Source organism: Homo sapiens, chromosome 12 (assembly GCF_000001405.40).
Source record: "Homo sapiens chromosome 12, GRCh38.p14 Primary Assembly".
Taxonomy (NCBI): Eukaryota; Metazoa; Chordata; class Mammalia; order Primates; family Hominidae; genus Homo; species Homo sapiens.
This window is the reverse complement of record NC_000012.12, coordinates 21471343-21492993: the sequence shown is the minus strand read 5'-3', so window position 1 is coordinate 21492993 and position 21651 is coordinate 21471343. Positions and strand designations below refer to the sequence as shown.

The 21651-nt window shown below is 36.5% G+C and overlaps 1 protein-coding gene across 8 annotated transcripts in view; it reads left to right on the top strand.

Moving 5' to 3' along the window:
* The window catches only part of RECQL (RecQ like helicase), a 32726-nt gene that overhangs the window by 8642 nt on the left and 2433 nt on the right, over positions 1-21651 (top strand). For all 8 annotated transcript variants that reach the window (XM_047429300.1, XM_047429299.1, XM_005253464.5 and 5 more), the window contains 11 exons: positions 1278-1475; positions 2616-2795; positions 6409-6515; positions 9420-9618; positions 15025-15191; positions 16002-16083; positions 17170-17318; positions 17409-17526; positions 18015-18153; positions 19352-19443; positions 21347-21566. In XM_047429300.1, the coding sequence (XP_047285256.1) occupies positions 1278-1475; positions 2616-2795; positions 6409-6515; positions 9420-9618; positions 15025-15191; positions 16002-16083; positions 17170-17318; positions 17409-17526; positions 18015-18153; positions 19352-19443; positions 21347-21566 (1651 nt within the window). The remainder of the gene's footprint in view (positions 1-1277; positions 1476-2615; positions 2796-6408; positions 6516-9419; positions 9619-15024; positions 15192-16001; positions 16084-17169; positions 17319-17408; positions 17527-18014; positions 18154-19351; positions 19444-21346; positions 21567-21651) is intronic.

The following is a 21651-nucleotide window of genomic DNA, read 5'->3' as shown; positions in this document are numbered from 1 at the left end:
CTTCTGGTCCTGAAGTCAGCAGTACCAGCAGTGAGAAAGGAAGATGGGTGTGAAGTATGGGAGGGTATGGATGAGCTGGAAGCTGCAAGGATAAGTTGAAATTCATGAGGACAAAGTTAGGATGCTGGTGCCCTGCTGAAAAGCTGGTGCACTTGTCACAGAAGGTTGGCCAGCAACATGACCAAGAAGCCAAAGAATCTGTGGGCCAAGTTGTTCCACCAAGATTTAGCAGGAGCTGGGGGAACTGGCTTCTGCCCCACGTCCACAAAGTGAGGCAGCAGTTTCCTAATATCATGAGTGAGCTCCAGAAGCACCTGGCCATAGGCCAACCATCCCAATGTAAAACTGGCTGCTGCTTTATTTCTGCCTTGTAAATCTCATGCAGAGTTCACTTGTGGCCAAACCTAACCCAAAGTCATGTAGGGAAGGGTTGATACAAGGGATGATGGCAGTTGGTACAATAAAAAGGTACCCCAACATCCTATTTTAAATCACAGCCATAAATTATATCTCATGAAGAAGCACATTAAACCTGTATACTGATTAATGCAGGCAGGTATATGAGAATGCACCAAGAACATCTTTAAGATTTTTCTAGCTTCCATCGATGTGGTATCAAAAAGCATCTCACTTTTTGACTTTAATACTTAGATTGATTAGAATCATACACTGGGGTTTCTTTATAGATTAGTTACAAAGGAGATAAAATGCCAATTCCAATAGTACACTTGATTTCTCTTACTTGTTACATCCTCTTGTTTATAATTACCAACTCCTTTTACCACCAAGTGAGCCCAAATAGGAATACCTTCATAAAGTAATAGCAAAGTAATTAGGGAATTAGCTTCCTTTTGCTTCAAAGTCTGATACTTTACTTAAATGATTTAGGAGATTGTTAGACCACTTCTCTACAACATAATAAAAATAATTATCATGTATTAAATATTTGTGTACCAGGTACTGCGTCTAGAACTCCTAATATATTATCTCACTAGCTCTTCATAAAAATACTATGAAAGTTAGATATTGTCCCCATTTTACAGGAAGGGAAATGGGGATGCAGGTGAGTATCTTGTCTGAGGTCACTCAGCAGGTAAAAGGAGGACCTGAGATTTAACTTAGGTCTATATGACTCAAAAACATGCTCATAACCATTCTGCTATACTACTTCAAGTTTGTCTGTAATTGATATGGCGGGCAACACCCAGAAATCAATCTGGAAACCTAAAGTTGTAATTTACTCTGTCTAATCATTGTATCCGCGCTGCCTCCCATAGCTCTAACTGAGGAACTGGATTCTATAACCAGTGAGCTACATGCAGTAGAAATTCAAATTCAAGAACTTACGGAAAGGCAACAAGAGCTTATTCAGAAAAAAAAAGTCCTGACAAAGAAAATAAAGCAGTGTTTAGAGGATTCTGATGCCGGGGCAAGCAATGAATATGATTCTTCACCTGCCGCTTGGAATAAAGAAGGTTAACTTTTTTTTTTTTTTTTTTGCTAGTTTTATTTCTTCTCATATTTTAAAAAACTAGAATGAATTCTTGATGGGACAGTGCTTTCCAGTAGGCTTAGAGGTGAAACTGGCCATTTCTCCAGTGGAATGGGAAACTTGCAGGTGGATCATTCTTTCCCTGTGTTCTGTAGTCTTCAAATTAAACTTTTATTATTCAGACATTTTTTTCCAGTTATTGTTACAGCAACATTGATCATGTTTAGAAAATGAGATACTTCCTTTACCTACATTAACAAACAGTTAAGAAAAAAAATTCAAACTCCTTGCCAAAGGTTAGATCATTTTCCTGCCCTAGTGAACAAACCTTTCATGATTCAAGACCTTATCAAACATCAAGTTTATCAATTATAAATAGAATAATAGAATAATTAGAATAACTCTAGAAGGGATTGTGCTTTTTGTGGATGTTGCTTTTCAATGATTCACGTCTGAACAAGATATTTACACCAAAAATTCCAGATAATTGTTAACTTTGTTCATGATATTTGAGTACTTTATGATGCTGTGAATTCCCTGATCAACATTCAGACAATTTTTTAAATACCTGATCAAACACCTTCCTTTCTTGTGTGGGTTAATTCTCAACTGGCAAATGTTTACATTTGTTACTTTTTTTTTGTTTTTGAGATAGGGTCTTGCTTTGTTGCCCAGGCTGGAGTGCAGTGGCACAACCACAACTCACTGCAGCCTCAAACTCCCAGCCTCAAGCAATCCTCCCTCCTCAGCCTCCTTAGTAGCTGGGACTACAGGTGCACAGAACCACACCTGGCTACTTTAAAAAAAATTTTTTTATAGGGATAGAGTCTTGCCATCGCTTGAGCTCAGGCTGGTCTCGAACTCCTGAGCTCAAGTAATCCTCCTGCTTAGGCCTCCCAAAACTGTTGAGATTATAGGCATGAGCCACCATGCCTACTATGTCTTATAATACATCATTTAACTTGTTTTTGCTTTGCTTAGCTAGTGAGTTAATCTCAAAACTATTATCATAAAAGTTTAATGGTCTATAAGTATTAGAAGTCTTATATATGTTTGTCTCATTCTTATCAAACTTCTATAATAGTCTTACATGTTTGTCTGATTCTTAACTTTCTTTTCCTAGATTTTCCATGGTCTGGTAAAGTTAAAGATATTCTGCAAAATGTCTTTAAACTGGAAAAGTTCAGACCACTTCAGCTTGAAACTATTAACGTAACAATGGCTGGAAAGGAGGTATTTCTTGTTATGCCTACAGGAGGTGGAAAGAGCTTATGTTACCAGTTACCAGCATTATGTTCAGATGGTATGTACTAAAAAAATTAATTTTGAGTTGAAGAAGTGCTTTGTCATCATACCTTTTTAATTCTTTTAAAAAATAATTTATAATCATACATATATAAAAATCAAGTGCATTTTTGTTTGATTTCTTCTATATTAATAGAAATTTAAAGTTTCACTTAAAGGAGGAATTTTATTTATTTTTTATTTTAGATTCAGGGGTATATGTGCAGGTTTGTTACATGGGTATATTGTGTGATGCTGAGATTTGGACTTCTAATGATCCATCGTCCAAGTAGTAAACATAGTACCTGCTAGGTAGTTTTTCAGCCCTTGCCCTCCTCTCTCCCTAAAGGAGGAGTTTTAAAAACTTCTGAGATTAATCCTTTTATCTGGTTCCTGAAACATAAATTTAAAAACATATTGTACTGAACATTCAAAATCCTCTCTTCTAGCTTTTCGAAACCCTATCTAAATTATTGTTAACCATATTCACCCTACAGTGCTATAGAACACTTGAACAGAAGATACAAGGGGCAAAAAAACCCAAAAATGTTGTAGGAGAAGCAGCTCTGGAAGAAGAATCAGTAGACCTGAATTCTAGTCCCAGATCTTTACTGAGTGTCTGCCATGGTGCTAGGCACTGGGAGACACAGTAGTGAGCAAAATGGGCGTGGTCTTAGTTTTCACAGAACTCATAGTGTAGAGTAGCACTTTCTCAGACTTTAGTGTACATAAGAATCACCTGAGAATTTGATTATGTGCAGATTCTGATTTTATGTGAGACCAAAGATCCTGCATTTCTAACAAGTTCGCTAGTGCTACTGATATTACTGATTGGGTAGTAGCAAGGGATCAGCAAGCTTTTTCTTGAAAGGGTAGATAGTAAATAATATAGGCTTGTGGTCCATATGGTCTCCTTGGCAGCTCTTCAACCCTGCCATTGTAGCACAAAAGCAGCCACAGATAATGTGTAAACACATGGGTGTAGCTGTGTTCCATTAAAATAACTTACAAAAATAGGCAACCAGCCCTTACTTTGTTGATCCCTGGTTTAGAGAATACAGGTAATTGCAAGCAATTGCAATAAGAATTTTGGGATAAAGGTTTTAATAGGGAATTAAGTCTGTACAAAGATCTGGTCTAGGGGCTGTCAGGGAAAGCTGTTCTGAGGAAGTGGCATTTAAGCTAAAGTTTAAAGGGTGAGTAGGCAGAAGGGACAGGGAAGGAAGAGTGTTCATTCAGAAAAGCAATACTTGAGATCCAAAAGCAAGAGAGAACATTCACATTATGATGTATTCAGTAACCTGGAGGAATTTCTATGTGGCAGTCAGTGGTAAGACATGTGGAAAGAGTCTTATTTTTAAAACTTTTCCTTATTTTAGCAAGAAGCCATTGAAGAGTTTTACACAGGTAAGAGACTCATTATTTCATGGTTTAGAAGGATAATTCTAGCAGTTAGATGAATTCCAGATACATCTGGAAGATAGATTCAATGGGACTTGGTATTTATTGCTTGGGGGGAAAGGAGAAAGAAGAGTCAAGAATGATACTCAAATTTTAGGCTTGGACAAGTGGTGAGGTTCTTCACTGAAATGGGGTACATTGGCGAAAGAACTCTTGGGAATGGAGAGGGGAAAGATGATGAATTTATTTGGGACATGTTGAATTTACGATGCCTTTAAGACATCCAGGTGGAATTGTCCTATGAGTAGGAGGATGTTTGTGTCTAAAGCCTGGTGTTAGAGGTCTGAGTTGGGGGTTGTTAGTGTGGAGATGGCCACTGAAGCCATTGGAATGAATTTCAGAGCAGCATAAGAAGAAAAGAAGGCCTAGAACAGAAACCAGAACACCAAGAGTTTAGGGATAAACAGAGAAAAAGGGCTTGCAGACAAGGCTGAGAAAGAGTAGCAACATATAGGATAACCAGGATTGTATGATGTTATTAGAAGGCTAGGGAAGGGTGTGTTTGAATGAGGGAGTAGTTAATAGTGATGTCTGTTAGCAAAATGTCAAATACGTAAGGATGTAAGTTTCAATGAGTTTAATGACAAAGGACTCATCTATGACCTTAGCTAGAGCAATTTTATTGAAATGGTTGGGTGGAGACCAAATAGCAATGGTTTGAAGCAGGTAGGAATTGAGGAAGTGGAACTGGTGAGTATGGGATTCTCTTTGGAAAAGAATGACTATGAAGGGAAGAAGAGAGTGGGCCATAAATGAGATGTTATCTTAGTCTATTCCAGCTGCTGTAACAGAATACTTTATATCAGTTAATTAACAAACAACAGAAGTTTACTGCTTGCAGTTCTGGAGGCTGGGAAGTCCAAGATCAAGATGCTAATAGATTTCGGTGTCTAGAGAGGGGGTGTTTCTCATAGATGGCACCTTCTTGCTACACCCTCACATGGCGGCAAAGAAAGGGCACTCCCTTCAACTTTTTGTAAAATGGCATTAATCCCACTTATGAAAGCAGAGCCCTCATTACTTAATCACTTCTGTGGGGATACCAACTTTCAGACCATAGTGGGTGTTTTCCAAGATGAGAGGGACTTGACCATGTTTAAATGTAATGAGTAGGTGCTAGTAAGGAAAAGTGAAAATAATAGGAGAGAGAATAATTGACTGGGAAAAATCCCTAATAAGGTCTTAATTTGATTATGTTTTTTAAACATGTCTGCTCTTTGCCAAAGGTTGTTTTAAGAAACAAACTACAGAAACGTAAAGCCATATATAATTTTAACTGTAGAATAGCTTTTGTACTTTAAACAGTTTCAATTATAAGGAAGGGGGCATATTACTATAACTTCATTCAGACAGTAAACTGTTCACTGATTTCTACTCAGCATAAATGAATCTCGTACAAAAAGTAAAAGAATGCTTATGCAACTATCATGTTTAATTATACACACTACTGTATAATTAAAAATCTGGTTTTTTTGGAAAGCTTTATAGTGATTTTTCCCTGATGAAACTGTTTAGTGTTTGAACTGATATATGTTGTCTTACTGAAATTACCAATAGTGATTATTTAAAACGATAGCAAATTAAACATTTGAAATGATAAAAATCTGTCTTTATTTTTATAAGGATAGAGTTCTGTTTAGTTGTATGTTTATTTGGCTTCTACTTACCTTGTTTGGTCATTTATTCATATCTAATTAATGAGAGTAAGAAGTAAGCTTTACTAAAGCTGCATTAAAAATTAATCTGAATTGATGGCCAGTGCCCACAAGTTAAGAAGGTGAATGGGCCGGGCGTGGTAGCTCATGCCTGTAATCCTAGCACTTTGGGAGGCCAAGGTGGGCAGATTGCCTGAGCTCAGGAGTTTGAGACCAGCCTGGGCAACACAGTGAAACCCTGTCCCTACTAAAATACAAAAGAAATTAGCCAGGCATGGCAGCAGGTGCCTGTAGTCCCAGCTACTCGGGAGGCTGAGGCAGGAGAATTGCTTGAACCCGGGAGGCAGAGGTTGCAATGAGCCAACATCGCACCACTGCACTCTAGCCTGGGCAAGAGAGTGAGACTCCATCTCTAAAAAAAAAAAAAAAAAAAAAAAAAAAAAACGTGAATGGTTTGCATCTGATTCTGAGGGTGGTGTAAAGTTTAAGGTAGATTTTTTTTTTTTTCTCTTTTAGGTTTTACACTCGTCATTTGCCCATTGATCTCTCTTATGGAAGACCAATTAATGGTTTTAAAACAATTAGGAATTTCAGCAACCATGTTAAATGCTTCTAGTTCTAAGGTATGTTTCAGTGGCTTTTTTTTTTTTAATGTAAACTATTCACTGAAATAGGAGCTTTACCTGCAGTTGAGTTGCTTATAAAATTATAAACTGTTAACTATTTATATCAGGAGTTACAAACTACTGCTCTTGGCCAGTTCTGGCCCACTGTCTATTTTTGTATGTCCCATGAGTTAAGAATGGTTTTTATATTTTTAAATGGCTAAAAAAAATCTAAAAAGAATATTTTGTGAAATGGGAAAATTATTTGCAATTCAAGTTTCAGTATCCATAAATAAAGTTTTATTGAAACACCACCATGCTCATTTGTTGACATGTTGTCTATGGCTGCTTTTACAGTATAATGGCACAGTGGAGTAGTTGTGATAGAGACCTTATAGCCCATAAAACCTAATATTTTTGTCTGATACTTTACAGGAAACATTTGCTGACCTGTTTTGTATTATCCATTCTAAAATAGTAAGGGAGAATTGCTAATTATGCAGTGTAATTAAATATGAAATATGAATTATTAAGAAGTTACCCTATACCTGTGGAATTTCTTGTATTTAGGAATGGACTGTCTTACCCTCATCTGTAGAATAAAGCATTTCCCAGCTATTCTTTTTTAAAAAGCATATTACTGAAATCTTCAAAAGGAGAGAGAATAGCATAAAAACTGCCATGTAGCCATTTCCCCCTTCAACAGTTATCAACATACGGCTAATCTTTTTTTTTAATCTGTATACCTCCAGTTTTCCCTACCCCTTTCCTCTTAGTTTATTTATTCAGAACAAATTCCAGACATCATATTTTAATTGTAAATTCTTCAGTACGTATCTCTAACTTTAAAGAAAAGTGCTGTGCCATCATCACATCTAAGAAGTTTAATCAATTCTTTAGAATTATAAAAAAAATTCAGATTTCTATCTCATTTTTATGTTTTTTTTAAAAAAAAATATAGCCCAGATAATATTCATGCATTGTATTGTATTTGGTTGATATACCCATAGGTTCTCTTTATATCTTTTATATTTCCCATGCAAATTCTTTGTTGAAGAAACTGGGTTAACTGTCCTGTATCTTTCTACATTTTCCTGATTGCGTCCTTGTGGTGTTCTTTCTTTCTCTCTTTCTTTTCTTTTCTTTCTTTTTCTTTTTTTTTTTTTCAGTTCTGGGGTCCATATGCAGGATGTGCAGGTTTGTTACATAGGTAACTGGATCCTTTTAGTTAGATCTAAAAGCCTGATTGTATTTGGAATTTTTCTTTAACTTTTTTTTTTTTTTTTGCAAGAGTATACTTACTGTGGTATCACTCAAGTGGTACATAGTACCTGGTTATCTTTTTGTGATGCTAAGCGTCAGTGGGTTCAAGTGATGTCTGCCTGATCTCTGGTTATCAGTTTTTCATCTAATGGTTTTAGCAGCCACTGAGTGGCACCGTGAGAGCCATGATTTCATTAGGGAGGTGCAAAATGGTGATATCTAATTCTGTCACTCTTTCTTCATGTATTAGTTATACTTTTTCTACAAAAATAAACTTTTTCCTCATTAACTCTGCATGATGAAAATGCTTGATTTTTTTTTCCCTTTCTTTATGAGTTTTCAGAAAGAGTTGGTTTTCTAGCATTCTCCAAAGGTGGTCAACAAGATTTTTAAGGTTTTCTTTCCCCAAGTATCACTATAAACTTACAAGCTTTGACGTATAATATGATTCACCTTTGGAATCATATATATATATATATCAATATGTATATATGTAATGCTGAAATAGTCCTGTCCTTGGGCAGTGAGAGCCTCTTTAAGTTGGTTCCTGAATCCTTTCTCTTAACCCCATTGCTTCTGTTCCTTGCTTTCTTTTGCAGTAAGATAATCCATGTTCATTTTATGCATTTCCTGCCCAGACCTAGAGTCAGCCATACCTCTAAGAAGCCCTGGTTCCTTTAGTTTACCCATATATTTTTGTTTTATTTAAACTCCATGTCATTCTATTATAACTGCTCCTTCCTCCAACAAAATCAATCTGTGGAGAAAACTGCCTTCTAATAATGTACTTTCTTAAAATTGAAAAAGAACATAATAGTAATAGAAAGTAATTTAGAAAGTTGCAGATAATTACAAGTTCATGATATATCCCTACTCTTGAAAGTTGGAGAGAGAAAAAAAGAACATCTGTATCCTAGAATATATCTAGGAGTTAACAAACTGCTTCTTTGCTGGGATGATGAAAGTAGTTTGACTGTCTCTTTCTATCTCATTCACTGGCATGTTTTTATACTTTTTTGGTCCTCTTTAGATTAGAAGGAAAAAAAATGACATCTAATATGCTAAGTATTGTATAGAATTGTATGAGTACTAAGAATCTAATAACTGTTACCTTTTAAGATTTATTATTATTATCTTAATTTAATGAGTGATACTTTGTGAAACCCCATGGTCTTTATATTTAAATAAAGAGATTAAAAGATTTGATGGTATCATTTGAGAAGTTAATAAATAATAAATTTTGTTCACATACATAAAGGGATTATAAATATAATGTTAAAATTAATAAAACCCACCTTTATAACCATAACAATTGCATCTAGCTCACATTTTAGAATATATTATGAACAATTTAGGATTATGCCTTCATAGAATAAATGCTCTTCATTGGAGTATCTGTTTGTGTTCTTTTTTGTCAAGTGAGTTTTTTTTAGTCATCAACAATGTAGACGTTAGTAAATAACTAGAATGCTATTTACACAGCTGCCATGATGTTTCGTACTGAGACATGGTTTCAGTTTTAATGAACTAAACATCTGCTCCTAGAAGAGCCAAAGGCTATTATTGCTTTGGAGAAATGAACGTTTTCATTTACCACCTAGTATTTCAGTCTGCTAGCTTAGTTTTACTATCATTGTGTCTATTTTTTTCTTTTAATAGGAGCATGTTAAATGGGTTCATGCTGAAATGGTAAATAAAAACTCCGAGTTAAAGCTGATTTATGTGACTCCAGAGAAAATTGCAAAAAGCAAAATGTTTATGTCAAGACTAGAGAAAGCCTATGAAGCAAGGAGATTTACTCGAATTGCTGTGGATGAAGTTCACTGCTGTAGTCAGTGGGGACATGATTTCAGACCTGGTATGTATGTTTTATCTAGAAAACTTTTTGATGTCATAGACCGTGTCCTTACTCAGCTTGGCATGATGGAAATCTCTGCTTCTATTAAAATCATCCTCAAGTAGTTACACATTGAATATCCGTTATCCAGAATGTTCGGAACCAAAAGGGTTTTAAATTTTGGATTTTTTTGGATTTGGGATGATCAACCTGTATTACTTATTTTATCTTGCCTCATTATGAGGAGGACTGAGAGGCAGAATGTTTAGTTTCATTCCCCACTGTAGTCTGTAGTTTAATTGCCCTTGTCAATTATGGACAAATATGGACACATATGTTTACTAGCCAATAGTGGACATCTTTGTGGCATTTATGACATCTAGGTATTCCTTCACATTTGTTGAAGAATTTGCATCTGTTTCAAAGTTGTCATCTTTAGTCATCATTCTGAGGGTCTTTTCAGCACCCACATACAACTCCTCAGCATGAAACTTTGATGAGATATTTTTAGTGACCTTTTTCTTCACCCCACCACCTAATCCTACAGTCATAGCCTAAAGTAAGTTACTCAGAATTGTTATATGCAAAAAAATCTTAAATTCAAAAATCCGACTCCCTGGCTTCAACCTGTTTTCCTTCTGAAGCTTTTCACACATTAGGATTTGCTGGATCCCTCTTTTAATCCCTGCTTATTTATCCAGGCTCCTGTCCCTACATAGCAATCACTCTGTTTCCCGTCCAGACACTGTGCTGTTGCCCCTTACTTCTGTTATATTTGCCCTGGACTGCCTGGCCATTCTGCCAGTCTGCTTCAGGCGTTGTGCCTGAGATGCTGGATTCATCTAGACTTTGGCTTTCCCCATTCCTGCTGCTTGGCTACTAAACATTGTCAAAAAAACAAAAATTGCATAACTCCATTCAGCTTTTCATTATCCTCAGCCGTCCTTATACTTGTCCCTATTTCAACTCCTTTATACATTTCTTCCAACAAATGTCTCCTATCATTAACTTTCTATTCAGGCCCTAACTTGTACTTAGCAGATGCTTTCTGCTTCACAGAAAATAGATGCCATCAGGTATGAACAGCTCCTCTTTCTACTTTCAAACATTAGTAATCTTTTTTTTTTTTCTTTTGTTAAGGCAGAAAAGACCACTGCTTTATAAGGCTAACCATGACCACTCCCGTTTCATCCTTTCCTGCCTTCTTAAGATCTTGCACTGCCAAATTCCTCACTCCTTCACCTTCAGGCTCTTTTGTCCTCTCCCTAAAAACAGAAACTAAAACACCCTTCTGACCTTTTAATGTTACTGTCCTCTTTCTGTTCTTTCTGTCACCATCAGACTTCTCAGCTTACCATCTCCATTTTTCACCTTTAACCCATTCTGAACTCATTGAATCATGCTTCTGCCACCACCATACTACTGAAACAGGTCATCGGTGACCCACCCCCAGATGAGACCACTTCATCAAGTGGTCTCATCTTCATTCCTCTTCCCACTTCACTTCAGTAACATTTTATATATTCACCTCTCACCTTGCCACATTCTACTCCCTTGGTTACTGTACAGCAGTGCTGTTCAGTGTCTTCCCTTCCATTCTCACCTCCTTCGCTCTTCCTGTCTTCTTTTTAAATATTAGTGTTCCCTAGGGTTCTGACCTCAGTCTTTACCCTTTCTTACGTTTCTCCAGGGATAGTGAGCTTGTAGCCCGAAGACTGCATTCTCTACCTACAGAATTATTATGGGCATTGTTTTTATTTATTTATATATTTTAAATAGATTTAAATGCCTTAAACGGGATGTATACGCCTTTCTATTAAGGGCCCCTCTTTTCTTAACCAGATAGCGCCACATAGTTGTTACCTGGTGGCCACTGAAGTTACCTGATTTGTGACTCTTGCCCTATTTTCAACCTAAATGGTTTGATCCCTTATGATTATCACCCTTGCTTAAGTATTACCATGACTTATGTTGTCTCTGTGGATCTGCTGCCAAAGTGTAAAACATTATTCCCATATCTAATTAGCTAACTGCTAAACTTTAAATTTATACTCCTAATTGTTTATCAGAAATGTGTATCTAAATTAGCATGACCAAAACTAAATTCCCCCAAAAGAACTGCTCTTTTTCTTCTCAACTGGGAATATTTTCCCCATAACTCTACTCGACATTCTAACCAAAAACTTTTTGTTTTCTTCGCCTTTCCTTTCTCCGTTCTCCTCTCTACTCCCAAGCAATTTCCCCTTCAGTCTTCTCTGTCTTAAAAAATCATCCACTCACTCACATGTTTGCTGAAGCCAAAATTTTAGCAGTTATCTTTATCATTTAGGTTCCAGTCAGGAGACAGTTATTTGAACAGAGAGAATTTTTTAGAAAGAATTGTGAACTAGGTAAAAAGTAGCTAAATAGATAACTGAAAAAGTAAAAAGAAAACGAAGATATCATGGAGTTAAAAACTGGAAGAAGCAACAACCACCTGTAGGGCTGGGAGAACAGGAAGAAAAGATTGGAACAAATAAGACTTAGAAACTTAATGAAGAGGGCTTGTGGAACTGAGCTCCCTGGTGCTGGAGTCTCTTGGTAGAGGCAGAGGTGGGGTACGTCTGTGATAAAGCTGGTTCTCCAAAGGCTGAGAAAAGTGCCAACTGTATTTAGTTGCTCTTAAGGAAAGAAGTGCTGCTGCAGGGATGAGAAGCCTTGCAGGGGTGACAGTCACAGGAACACAAGCAAGCCCACAGGAAGCAGTTAGGGAGGAAGCAGCCATGGTGTCTTCCATCCAGGGCCAGCAGGCAAAGCTGATGCGTAGTGTGCAGAGTCCTTGGTGCAGCATCCCAAAGCACAGTATAGAAGGGTGGGGTTAGAGATGACAAAAAAAAAATGGATGACACACCGTCCTTGATTTACCCTCCCTTTGCAGATCCAGTCCACCACTAAGTGTTGTCAGCTCTGCCTCTAGAATGAATCTCAAGTTTGTCTACTCTCTGTGCACCTACGTCTTACATACAGTTGAGCTCCCTTCCACTGGTCTACTGCAGCAGCTTCCTAAGTAGTCTTTGATTCCGTTCTTACACTTTTTGTTCATTCTCCACAGAGCAACCAGTGATATTTTCTAAATACACATCAAATCATGTTACTTCCCTACCTAAACTACCCAGTAGCTACTGTGTACTTAGAATAAAACCCAGCGTTCTTAACTGGGGCCCATAGGGTAATATGTGATCTGCCCCCATCTGTCTACCTGATTTCCTACTCTTCCTCTCTTCTTAAGCCCCAGCATACTGGGCTTATCATTATGAGCACTTACCACTCTCTAATGGCATATTTATTGGTTTACTCTTTGTATTGTCTTGTTTCTTTGCTTGAATTATAGACACATTTGCATAGCATTTTTGTCTTGTTCATCACTTTATCTTCAGTGCCTAGGGAAATGCTTGGCACACAATTAAAAAGGTGTTCAACATTTATCTATTGATGAATGGGTAAATCCAGCACTGTCTCCCTCTTCCCTGCCACCTCCATATCCCAGTAGTCACTAGGACCTGTAGGTTCATGTATGTCTCTTTACTCTTTTTGATTTATCCTGAATGTCATGTCTCATTTTATATTCTGTATTATTTGTTTTCTGGTCTGTTACTGCCATCTTTTAACTGGTTTTCCTTCAGTGTTTTGTCTATTCCAGTCTGTATTTTGCACTGTCACCAAAAGATGATTTATGAAGCATAGGTCTTTAAAAATTACATGATGGGCTCGGTGCGGTGGCTCACGCCTGTAATCCCAGCACTTTGGGAGGCCGAGGCGGGCGGATCACCTGAGGTCAGGAATTCAAGACCAGCCTGGCCAACGTGGTGAAACCCCGTCTCTACTAAAAATATAAAAATTAGCCAGGTGTGGCGGTGTATGCCTGTAATCCCAGCTACTCGAAAGGCTAAGGCGGGAGAATGGCGTGAACCCGGGAGGTGGAGCTTGCAGTGAGCCAAGATCGTGTCACTGCACTCCAACCTGGGTGACAGAGTGAGACTCCATCTCAAAAAAAAAAAAAAAAAAAATTACATGATGATTCCTCATTTCCTGTAGGATAAAGTCTCAGCTTAGAATCAACTGGTTGAATTGTTCATAGCTTTTCTTAAACCTGCCTTGTACATAACAGTGTCAGTCAGGGTTCAGGCAGAGAAGCAGAGTCACGATGAATGTTATGGGATAACGGTTTTACTGTAGGAAGTAGATCTTGAACAATTGTGGGAGGAACTGGGGAAGTGCAGGTCTGAAGAGGGGAGTTGGAGGATTAGAGAAAAGTAATGGATTGATACCTAAGCACTGGTGCAGGAGGACGAGGCGGAGCTTGTAGGGAAATCTGCAGCTGGCATGTACAGTGGCAAAGGGGACCCCTAAAGGGAAGCTCGTGGAAAGGTCTCTGGTAAGCTACTTCCTGTGAGTAGCTATCGCCTCTGTGGGTCTGCTGTTGATTGGCAGGACCTGCAGTTGGGAGGAACAGCTGAATGAGGAATGGAAAAGAACTAGGATGACCTAGAACTGGCTGAGCACTTCTGCATCTGTCCATCATCCTCTCTGCGTGTAAAGACCTTGAAGGAGTGATGTTAGCTGGTTCACTTCTGCCACCAAATCTTGCACAAGTCCCTCTTTTGGGTCAGCTCTAACTTGGAACAGGAAAGAGATTCTGGGAGATGTAATTCACAGCTTAATGGATTGGACAGTAAATCCATCCACCACAAGACTCTGTGACTTAGCCCCAGTGAACTGCTTGCTGTTATCTGAACATACTAATTTCATGTCAGTGTATTTGCAGTGTATATGCTGTTTCCTCTGCGTGATGTTCGTCTCTTCCTAGTGAACTTCTGCTCATTCTCTTAAGACACAACTCAAGTATTATCTCCTTGAAATCTTCACTTCCCAAGCAGCTGCTCTGTCCTCTTTGTTTTCATAGTAGTCCTCTACTTAGCATGTAAGCAATTTCTACCACATTTTTTTCAGTTTCCTCCAAATAGTTTAAGTGACAATTTATCTAGTGATGTAGATGCTTATAACAAGTTTGAGCCTAGAATGGTTTCCGAGAAATAGGTTATATACAAAGCAGTGCCGCCCTTACCAAGATTTTTTTGGTCTGATGACACTAGGTGGTAGCAGGGGTTTGTCTGATGGCCTGTTTTATCTTTTGTTAGTTGTAATAAATTAAAACACTGTGGCTATACCCACTGTCTCTTGAGTCCACCGTGACCAAGAGTAATGTCTGAAATAAACGTAATAAAGCCTGCCCATCAAAGAGGCTAACACAGAACTGCAAATTTACTGCTATAGATGGCTGTGGAAACAAAATCATAGTAGTCATCGATTATCTGCATAATGTTAAAAGATATAATTTACTCTAACTCTTAAAGGATAGAAAAAGGGCCACTTTGTTTGTTTTTTCAGATTATAAGGCACTTGGTATCTTAAAGCGGCAGTTCCCTAACGCATCACTAATTGGGCTGACTGCAACTGCAACAAATCACGTTTTGACGGATGCTCAGAAAATTTTGTGCATTGAAAAGTGTTTTACTTTTACAGCTTCTTTTAATAGGCCAAATCTATATTATGAGGTATGTAATTTTTATGTCAATTCCTTACTTTTGTGAAGAATTACGCAGAGGGGATCTGCCTTTTTATTATGTTTATTTACATGAGCAGTTAAGTACTTACAAAAATTTTTAACATTAGGAGGTAATTATAAGTAGATTCTGTGATTAGGGCTTCATTCATGTATCTTTTGCTACATAAACCTTTGTTAGATTAAATGGAAGACACCTGCTAGGTGATACTTTTTATAAAACATATGAGTAAGTCATATATCTTTGTTAAATTTCTGTATGTTCTTTTTTGTATAAAGATGGAGAGAAAGGATGGAGTGATACTAAGGACCCTAATAACATCTCTGTTCAAATTAATTACTAAGTGATAGAAGTATTCATATGCCATTAAAGATTTGCCAATTCTATTTGAATTTTATTTGATAAACTTGAAAATCAAATAACCTAACAGCTGTCTTTTCTTTCTTTCTAAACCCTTTTAAGAATAGATTTAATATTTTTCTGAGTTTTCATTAAAGAGTTATTTATGTTACGGTTTGTTTTTATAAAAGTAGCATCGCAAAATAAAAAAGTCTGCATCCTTGCAAGTTATTCACTGCTCATGTGCTTGCTCTTCTCTGGTAAATTAAAAAAATAAAGATCAAGAAGAGTCTGGGAGGAGGAACAGATGAGTCAGATGGGTTGAATCCTGTGAGTAAGTGAAAGAGTAATAGGAAAAAAAACACTATGGTCATGAAAGAACTGCATCCTGAAAGTTGTACATAGACAGCCACTTGGATGGTACTCATTCATTTACTTTTTAATAAGTTAAGTTTTTTTTAGGTTCGGCAGAAGCCCTCAAACACTGAAGATTTTATTGAGGATATTGTAAAGCTCATTAATGGGAGATACAAAGGGCAATCAGGTAATGTAAAAACAAACCAACTTTGGAGACAGAGATAACTTTCAAAAAGTGACTTCATATCATATTGATAATTATACTGATAACTGAATAACACCAAAAAAAATTAATGTATAGCAGAAGATACTTGAAAATACGTGATAAAATTAATTCACTTGATCTTAGAAATTGGGTGTGACATTTGCTTATGCCATAGATTATGAGTCGTCAAATTGCCTGATTTATTTTTGCTTATTTACACTTGCTTTAGAATAGACCTGATGACTTAATGTTAATTATCAACAGCACATATTTAGTATGTATCCACTGTGTACAAAATAGTGGATTAAGCAACTGATATTCTAAAGGGATAGAAAATATACTCCCTTACAGTAAAGGACACGTTAAAGCAATAAATAAATCCAGTAGTACATACTGAATAGATTAAGCACAGATCGAGTTGTGAGTATATATACATGGTTTTCTGGGTTTAATGACTAAGCAAATGTTACTGAAGCAAAGAATTTGTGTGAAAGTAGCATTTTAAACTGTTCTATAGATTTTCAGGAGGTAGTCCTGGGTAAAAGGAGTTCTAGGGTCAAATGAATTTGAGAAAGGTTGCAGGTATTTATTCTGCCTGGATGTTCACAGGGTGTATCAGCAAACTAGAAGCTCTGACCATCCCTGAAAATAAAGAGAGACACCCATTTAACTTTGTTGAATGCAATGTTCTCCAAATTAATTTGCATGCAAATTAATCTAAATTAACCCAAAATTAATCTGGAGAACACTGCATTCATAGCACATTTGTTAGCATCTTACAGACATCAGTTTGAGAAATACTGTTTAGTGGGAGATAAAGTTAAAGAGAGAAAAGAGATAACAGGAACAAAAACTGATGGCTCAGGCTCATTTCTGCTTTAAAGGAAGCTGGTGCTCAAATCTGGAATTATACCAAAATGTCAATATATGCACAAGGCCTTGAAATTTTTCATAATTCTTTTTTTCCTTCTGTGCATTGTATTAATCAATGTCCTGAATGTGTGTGTTGAAAACCATCTTCCAGGAATATGCCATATCTATCTAACAAATGCACATATTTTACTGCAGGAATCATATATTGTTTTTCTCAGAAAGACTCTGAACAAGTTACGGTTAGTTTGCAGAATCTGGGAATTCATGCAGGTGCTTACCATGCCAATTTGGAGCCAGAAGATAAGACCACAGTTCATAGAAAATGGTCAGCCAATGAAATTCAGGTTAGGTCTATATCTTCCATAGAAGCCTAATTTACCTTTAAAATATTTAAACTTGATTTAATTAACTGATAAAATGTTAAAATATTTCAGGTAGTAGTGGCAACTGTTGCATTTGGTATGGGAATTGATAAGCCAGATGTGAGGTTTGTTATCCATCATTCAATGAGTAAATCCATGGAAAATTATTACCAAGAGAGTGGACGTGCAGGTATGTAGGACTCAAATCCAGAAGTAAATTTTTAGAAAGCTTTTCCAAAAAATACATGATAAATGCTTAATAAGTCTGTATGTTTTATCTTTATTGGATAGTATTTTTAGAACAATGTATTTTTAGCAGTTTGACACTTACTTGCATATGGAGAAATTTTTACTTATGTTCTGTTATCTGAATTGTTTCTTTTTATGTGTGTTAAGATAATTTGATGTTCATCTTTGCCTCCTGAATTTTTAATTAGTGATTTCAAATCTATAACTTAACTGGATTATAGACACATTTTTTAACTTAGTAGAGCTGATTATTGATGTCTCTTTAGAGTTTTTTTTAATTTGAGGGTACCCATTACAAATTAACTTCCACATCTCTAAAATTTCTAGATGTAGTATAAAACATTGCCTGCTAATTTTACCATATGTCATTTTTGCATATTTTGAATTTGTAAATGTAATTCTGCAATCTCAAGGTTTCTCACACCACAGGTCGAGATGACATGAAAGCAGACTGTATTTTGTACTACGGCTTTGGAGATATATTCAGAATAAGTTCAATGGTGGTGATGGAAAATGTGGGACAGCAGAAGCTTTATGAGATGGTATCATACTGTCAAAACATAAGCAAGTAAGCCACATACCTTTTTATAACTTTTATCAATTAAAGCAAATATGAAAGTATATGACATCGTTTTTAAGTTCTTACTAAATACATTGGTGGAACACCAAAGTGCAGATCCATAAAAGCAGATGTTGGAGGGTAGGAACCAGCACATCAACCTGTATGATCTGCCTTAGTTCAAGAAAAGATGCCCTATCTTTGAGATAATCCTCCAAAACTACTTTTTTAATTGAAGGTTTTTGAGACACATTGATAGCAACTTGAAGGCTTTTTTTCTCTGGCACTGCTGTACAGTTACATGATTTAATAATTTTGAAAAGGTCTATGGTTAAGATAGGCATTTTGAGAGTCAAGCTCAGTAACGTGCCACCTTGCCAGCTCATGTGTCAATGAAATACCAAGTTTCTCCTTAAGAAGTAAGTTTAAATCTACTTAGGGTGGCTTTAGACTAGATAGCTTCCTGAAAGCTTTCTGTCATAGTTATCTTTGTGCTTTTATTGCCTATCACATAAGAAGTGCTCAGAAATGTCGAGGTGGTAAATAGCAGCCAGACAGTGATAGAAATGTTCTTTCTTTCCAATAGATACTACAATAATCTAGTTAAAAGAAATGAGAAAATGAAAATGTCTTCCAAAGGCCAGTAGAGTCTCATGAAGCATATTTTAAGGTTTCAACTCAAATATTGCTACTTTATTAAAATATAAGAAACTATTTTACTGTCAAGAATATTCTCCTAATAGTTGCAAAACATTGAATTTAAAAATGGAACTCAGACAATTTTTTAAACAGTGTTTATCAAGAATATGTGGGGAAAAAAGTCCTATGTCGGGGGCACAATGGCCCCCCAAAGATGTTCACGTCCTAATTCCTAACCTGTATGTTACCTCACATGGCAAAAGGAAAGTAGCATTGCACATGGAATTAAGACTGTTCATTAGCTGACCTTAAAATAGGGAGATTATTTTAGATTGTGTGATGTGAGAAGAACCTGACACTCTGATTTTGATCCAGTGAAACCCATAGTACACTTCTAAATCTAAACCACAGAAATGTAAGAATAAATGTGTTTAAAGCCACTAAGTTTATGGTAATATTATGGCAGTTATAGGAAGCTAATACAGTATATAACTATGTAAGCTGAAATAGAGATTCTTAAAACTTTATTATATCCTTTAATAATTTGTATCTTTAAATGTGTTTGCAGATGTCGTCGTGTGTTGATGGCTCAACATTTTGATGAAGTATGGAACTCAGAAGCATGTAACAAAATGTGCGATAACTGCTGTAAAGACAGTGGTGAGTTTGTTGTTTTGTAAACCTTTATAGGCTAATACAGTCATAATGCCTAGTGACAGAGATACGTTCTGAGAAATGCATCACTAGGTGATTTTGTCATTGTGCAAACATCAAAGTGTACTTACATAAACCTAGATGGTATAGTCTCCTAGGTGATATGTTATAGCCTATTGATCCTAGGCTACCAATCTGTACAGCGTGTTACTGTACTGCATACTGCAGGCAGCTGTAACACATGGTTAAGTATTTGTGTATCTAAACATAGAGTAAGTACAGTAAAAATATGGTATTATAACCTGGGTGACAGCGAGACTCCGTCTCAAAAAAAAATATATGGTATTATATAATCTCTTGGGACCACTGGCATATACGTGGTCCATCACCGACCAAAATATTATGTGGCACAAAACTGTATATACAGCTGGGACATGAGAGAAGTATTAGACTTCCAAATGGATTTAAAAGATTAAAGTGTGAATCAGATTTTCCAGAATTAAAACTATCAACATGAAGTTTTGAAACAAAGGTGAATAAAAGGAAAAGTCTTATGTGTATGCACACATTTTATATTGCTATACTGAGGATGTGAAATTTTTAATAAATGAAGGAAAATATTTGAATTTTTCTGAATAGAAATGCTATTCTATAAGAAAAGGGAAACCATGTGATAATCTCTAATACTTTATAGTCACTAATTGAAAAGAAAATTTAGTGCAAAATAGAGACTATAGAGAATCACTTTTGATCCAGTTAATGGCTAGTCATCGGAGATTTACTTAAAATTCTTTTAAATGTAGATCAGCAGGATTTGTTTTCTGAGCATTGGTCACAACCCTGCTGATCAAAACAGGATCTGGTCAAAACAAGATATAGCAAAGAAACTGGCCCAAACAAGTTAGAACTAGAAAATATAATGTATTTGCATGATGTAAGACACTCCCACTAGCACCATGACAGTTTACAAATGCCGTGACAATGCCCGAAAATTACATGGTTCTAGGAACTCCCTAACCTTTTCTAGAAGATTCATGAATAATCTTCCCCTTATTTAGCATATAACTAAGGAGCAGCTATAAATACCGCTAGTGAGCAATGTACAGTGCCACTCTGCCTTTGGGGTAGCCCTGCTCTGTCTATGGAGCCGCCATTTTCCTATACTCTATTGCTAATAAACTTGCTTTGCTTTCACTTTACTCTGTTGGCTTGCTCTCAGATTGTTTCTTGCATGAAACTGGGAACCCTCCTGGGCTGAGTCCCAATTTTCGGATTTGCCTGCAGCATTTTGGCACTATATTTTAACTTTTTTTCATCCGTGTGTTGTATTTCAAGATCTGGACTAGCCAGTACCTCATGGTAAGACCTTACTGAGTTCTGATGCCTTGTTAGGTGGAAGCCACTGTATTTTTAACTTTGCAGACAGAGAAATTTATGAGTTTATTAGACTATCTTATAAAATAACAAGAGTGTTATATATAAATCAGAGTACTGGTCTCTTAATAATTGGGTTATCAGTTGAGGACATTCTTGTTGCTAAATCAGAGTTCACTCAGGAGCCTATACTAGAACAGACAGGGTCTCCTATAAAACACACCTCTTAGTAACTTAGTAATCATGTCTGGCAGACACTTTCTGATTTCTAGAGTATATGGCAGGGCTTCTGATAACCAATTTTTTTTTATATATATCACTGTAAACCCCACAATGCTTACAGAGACCATAACTTGGTCTAGTGACAGAGACTTGAGGAATAGCCTAGTCTTAATTCAGAATACATTTAAAAATCAATGTTTAGGGTGGCTCACATTGATAACCAGCTTTAAACCAGTTTAACTACTTAAGATAGCCTATCTTTGCCCTCATTTCTAAATCCTAATTACCTGCTACCATATTTGTTTTATTACAGCATTTGAAAGAAAGAACATAACAGAGTACTGCAGAGATCTAATCAAGATCCTGAAGCAGGCAGAGGAACTGAATGAAAAACTCACTCCATTGAAACTGATTGATTCTTGGATGGGAAAGGGTGCAGCAAAACTGAGAGTAGCAGGTGTTGTGGCTCCCACACTTCCTCGTGAAGATCTGGAGAAGATTATTGCACACTTTCTAATACAGCAGTATCTTAAGTATGTACAAACTCATTCATTATTCTTTCAGGTTGTCTTTATGGTTTTTTTTTAAAAATTGCAACAGAATAAACGGTTTTGCAGT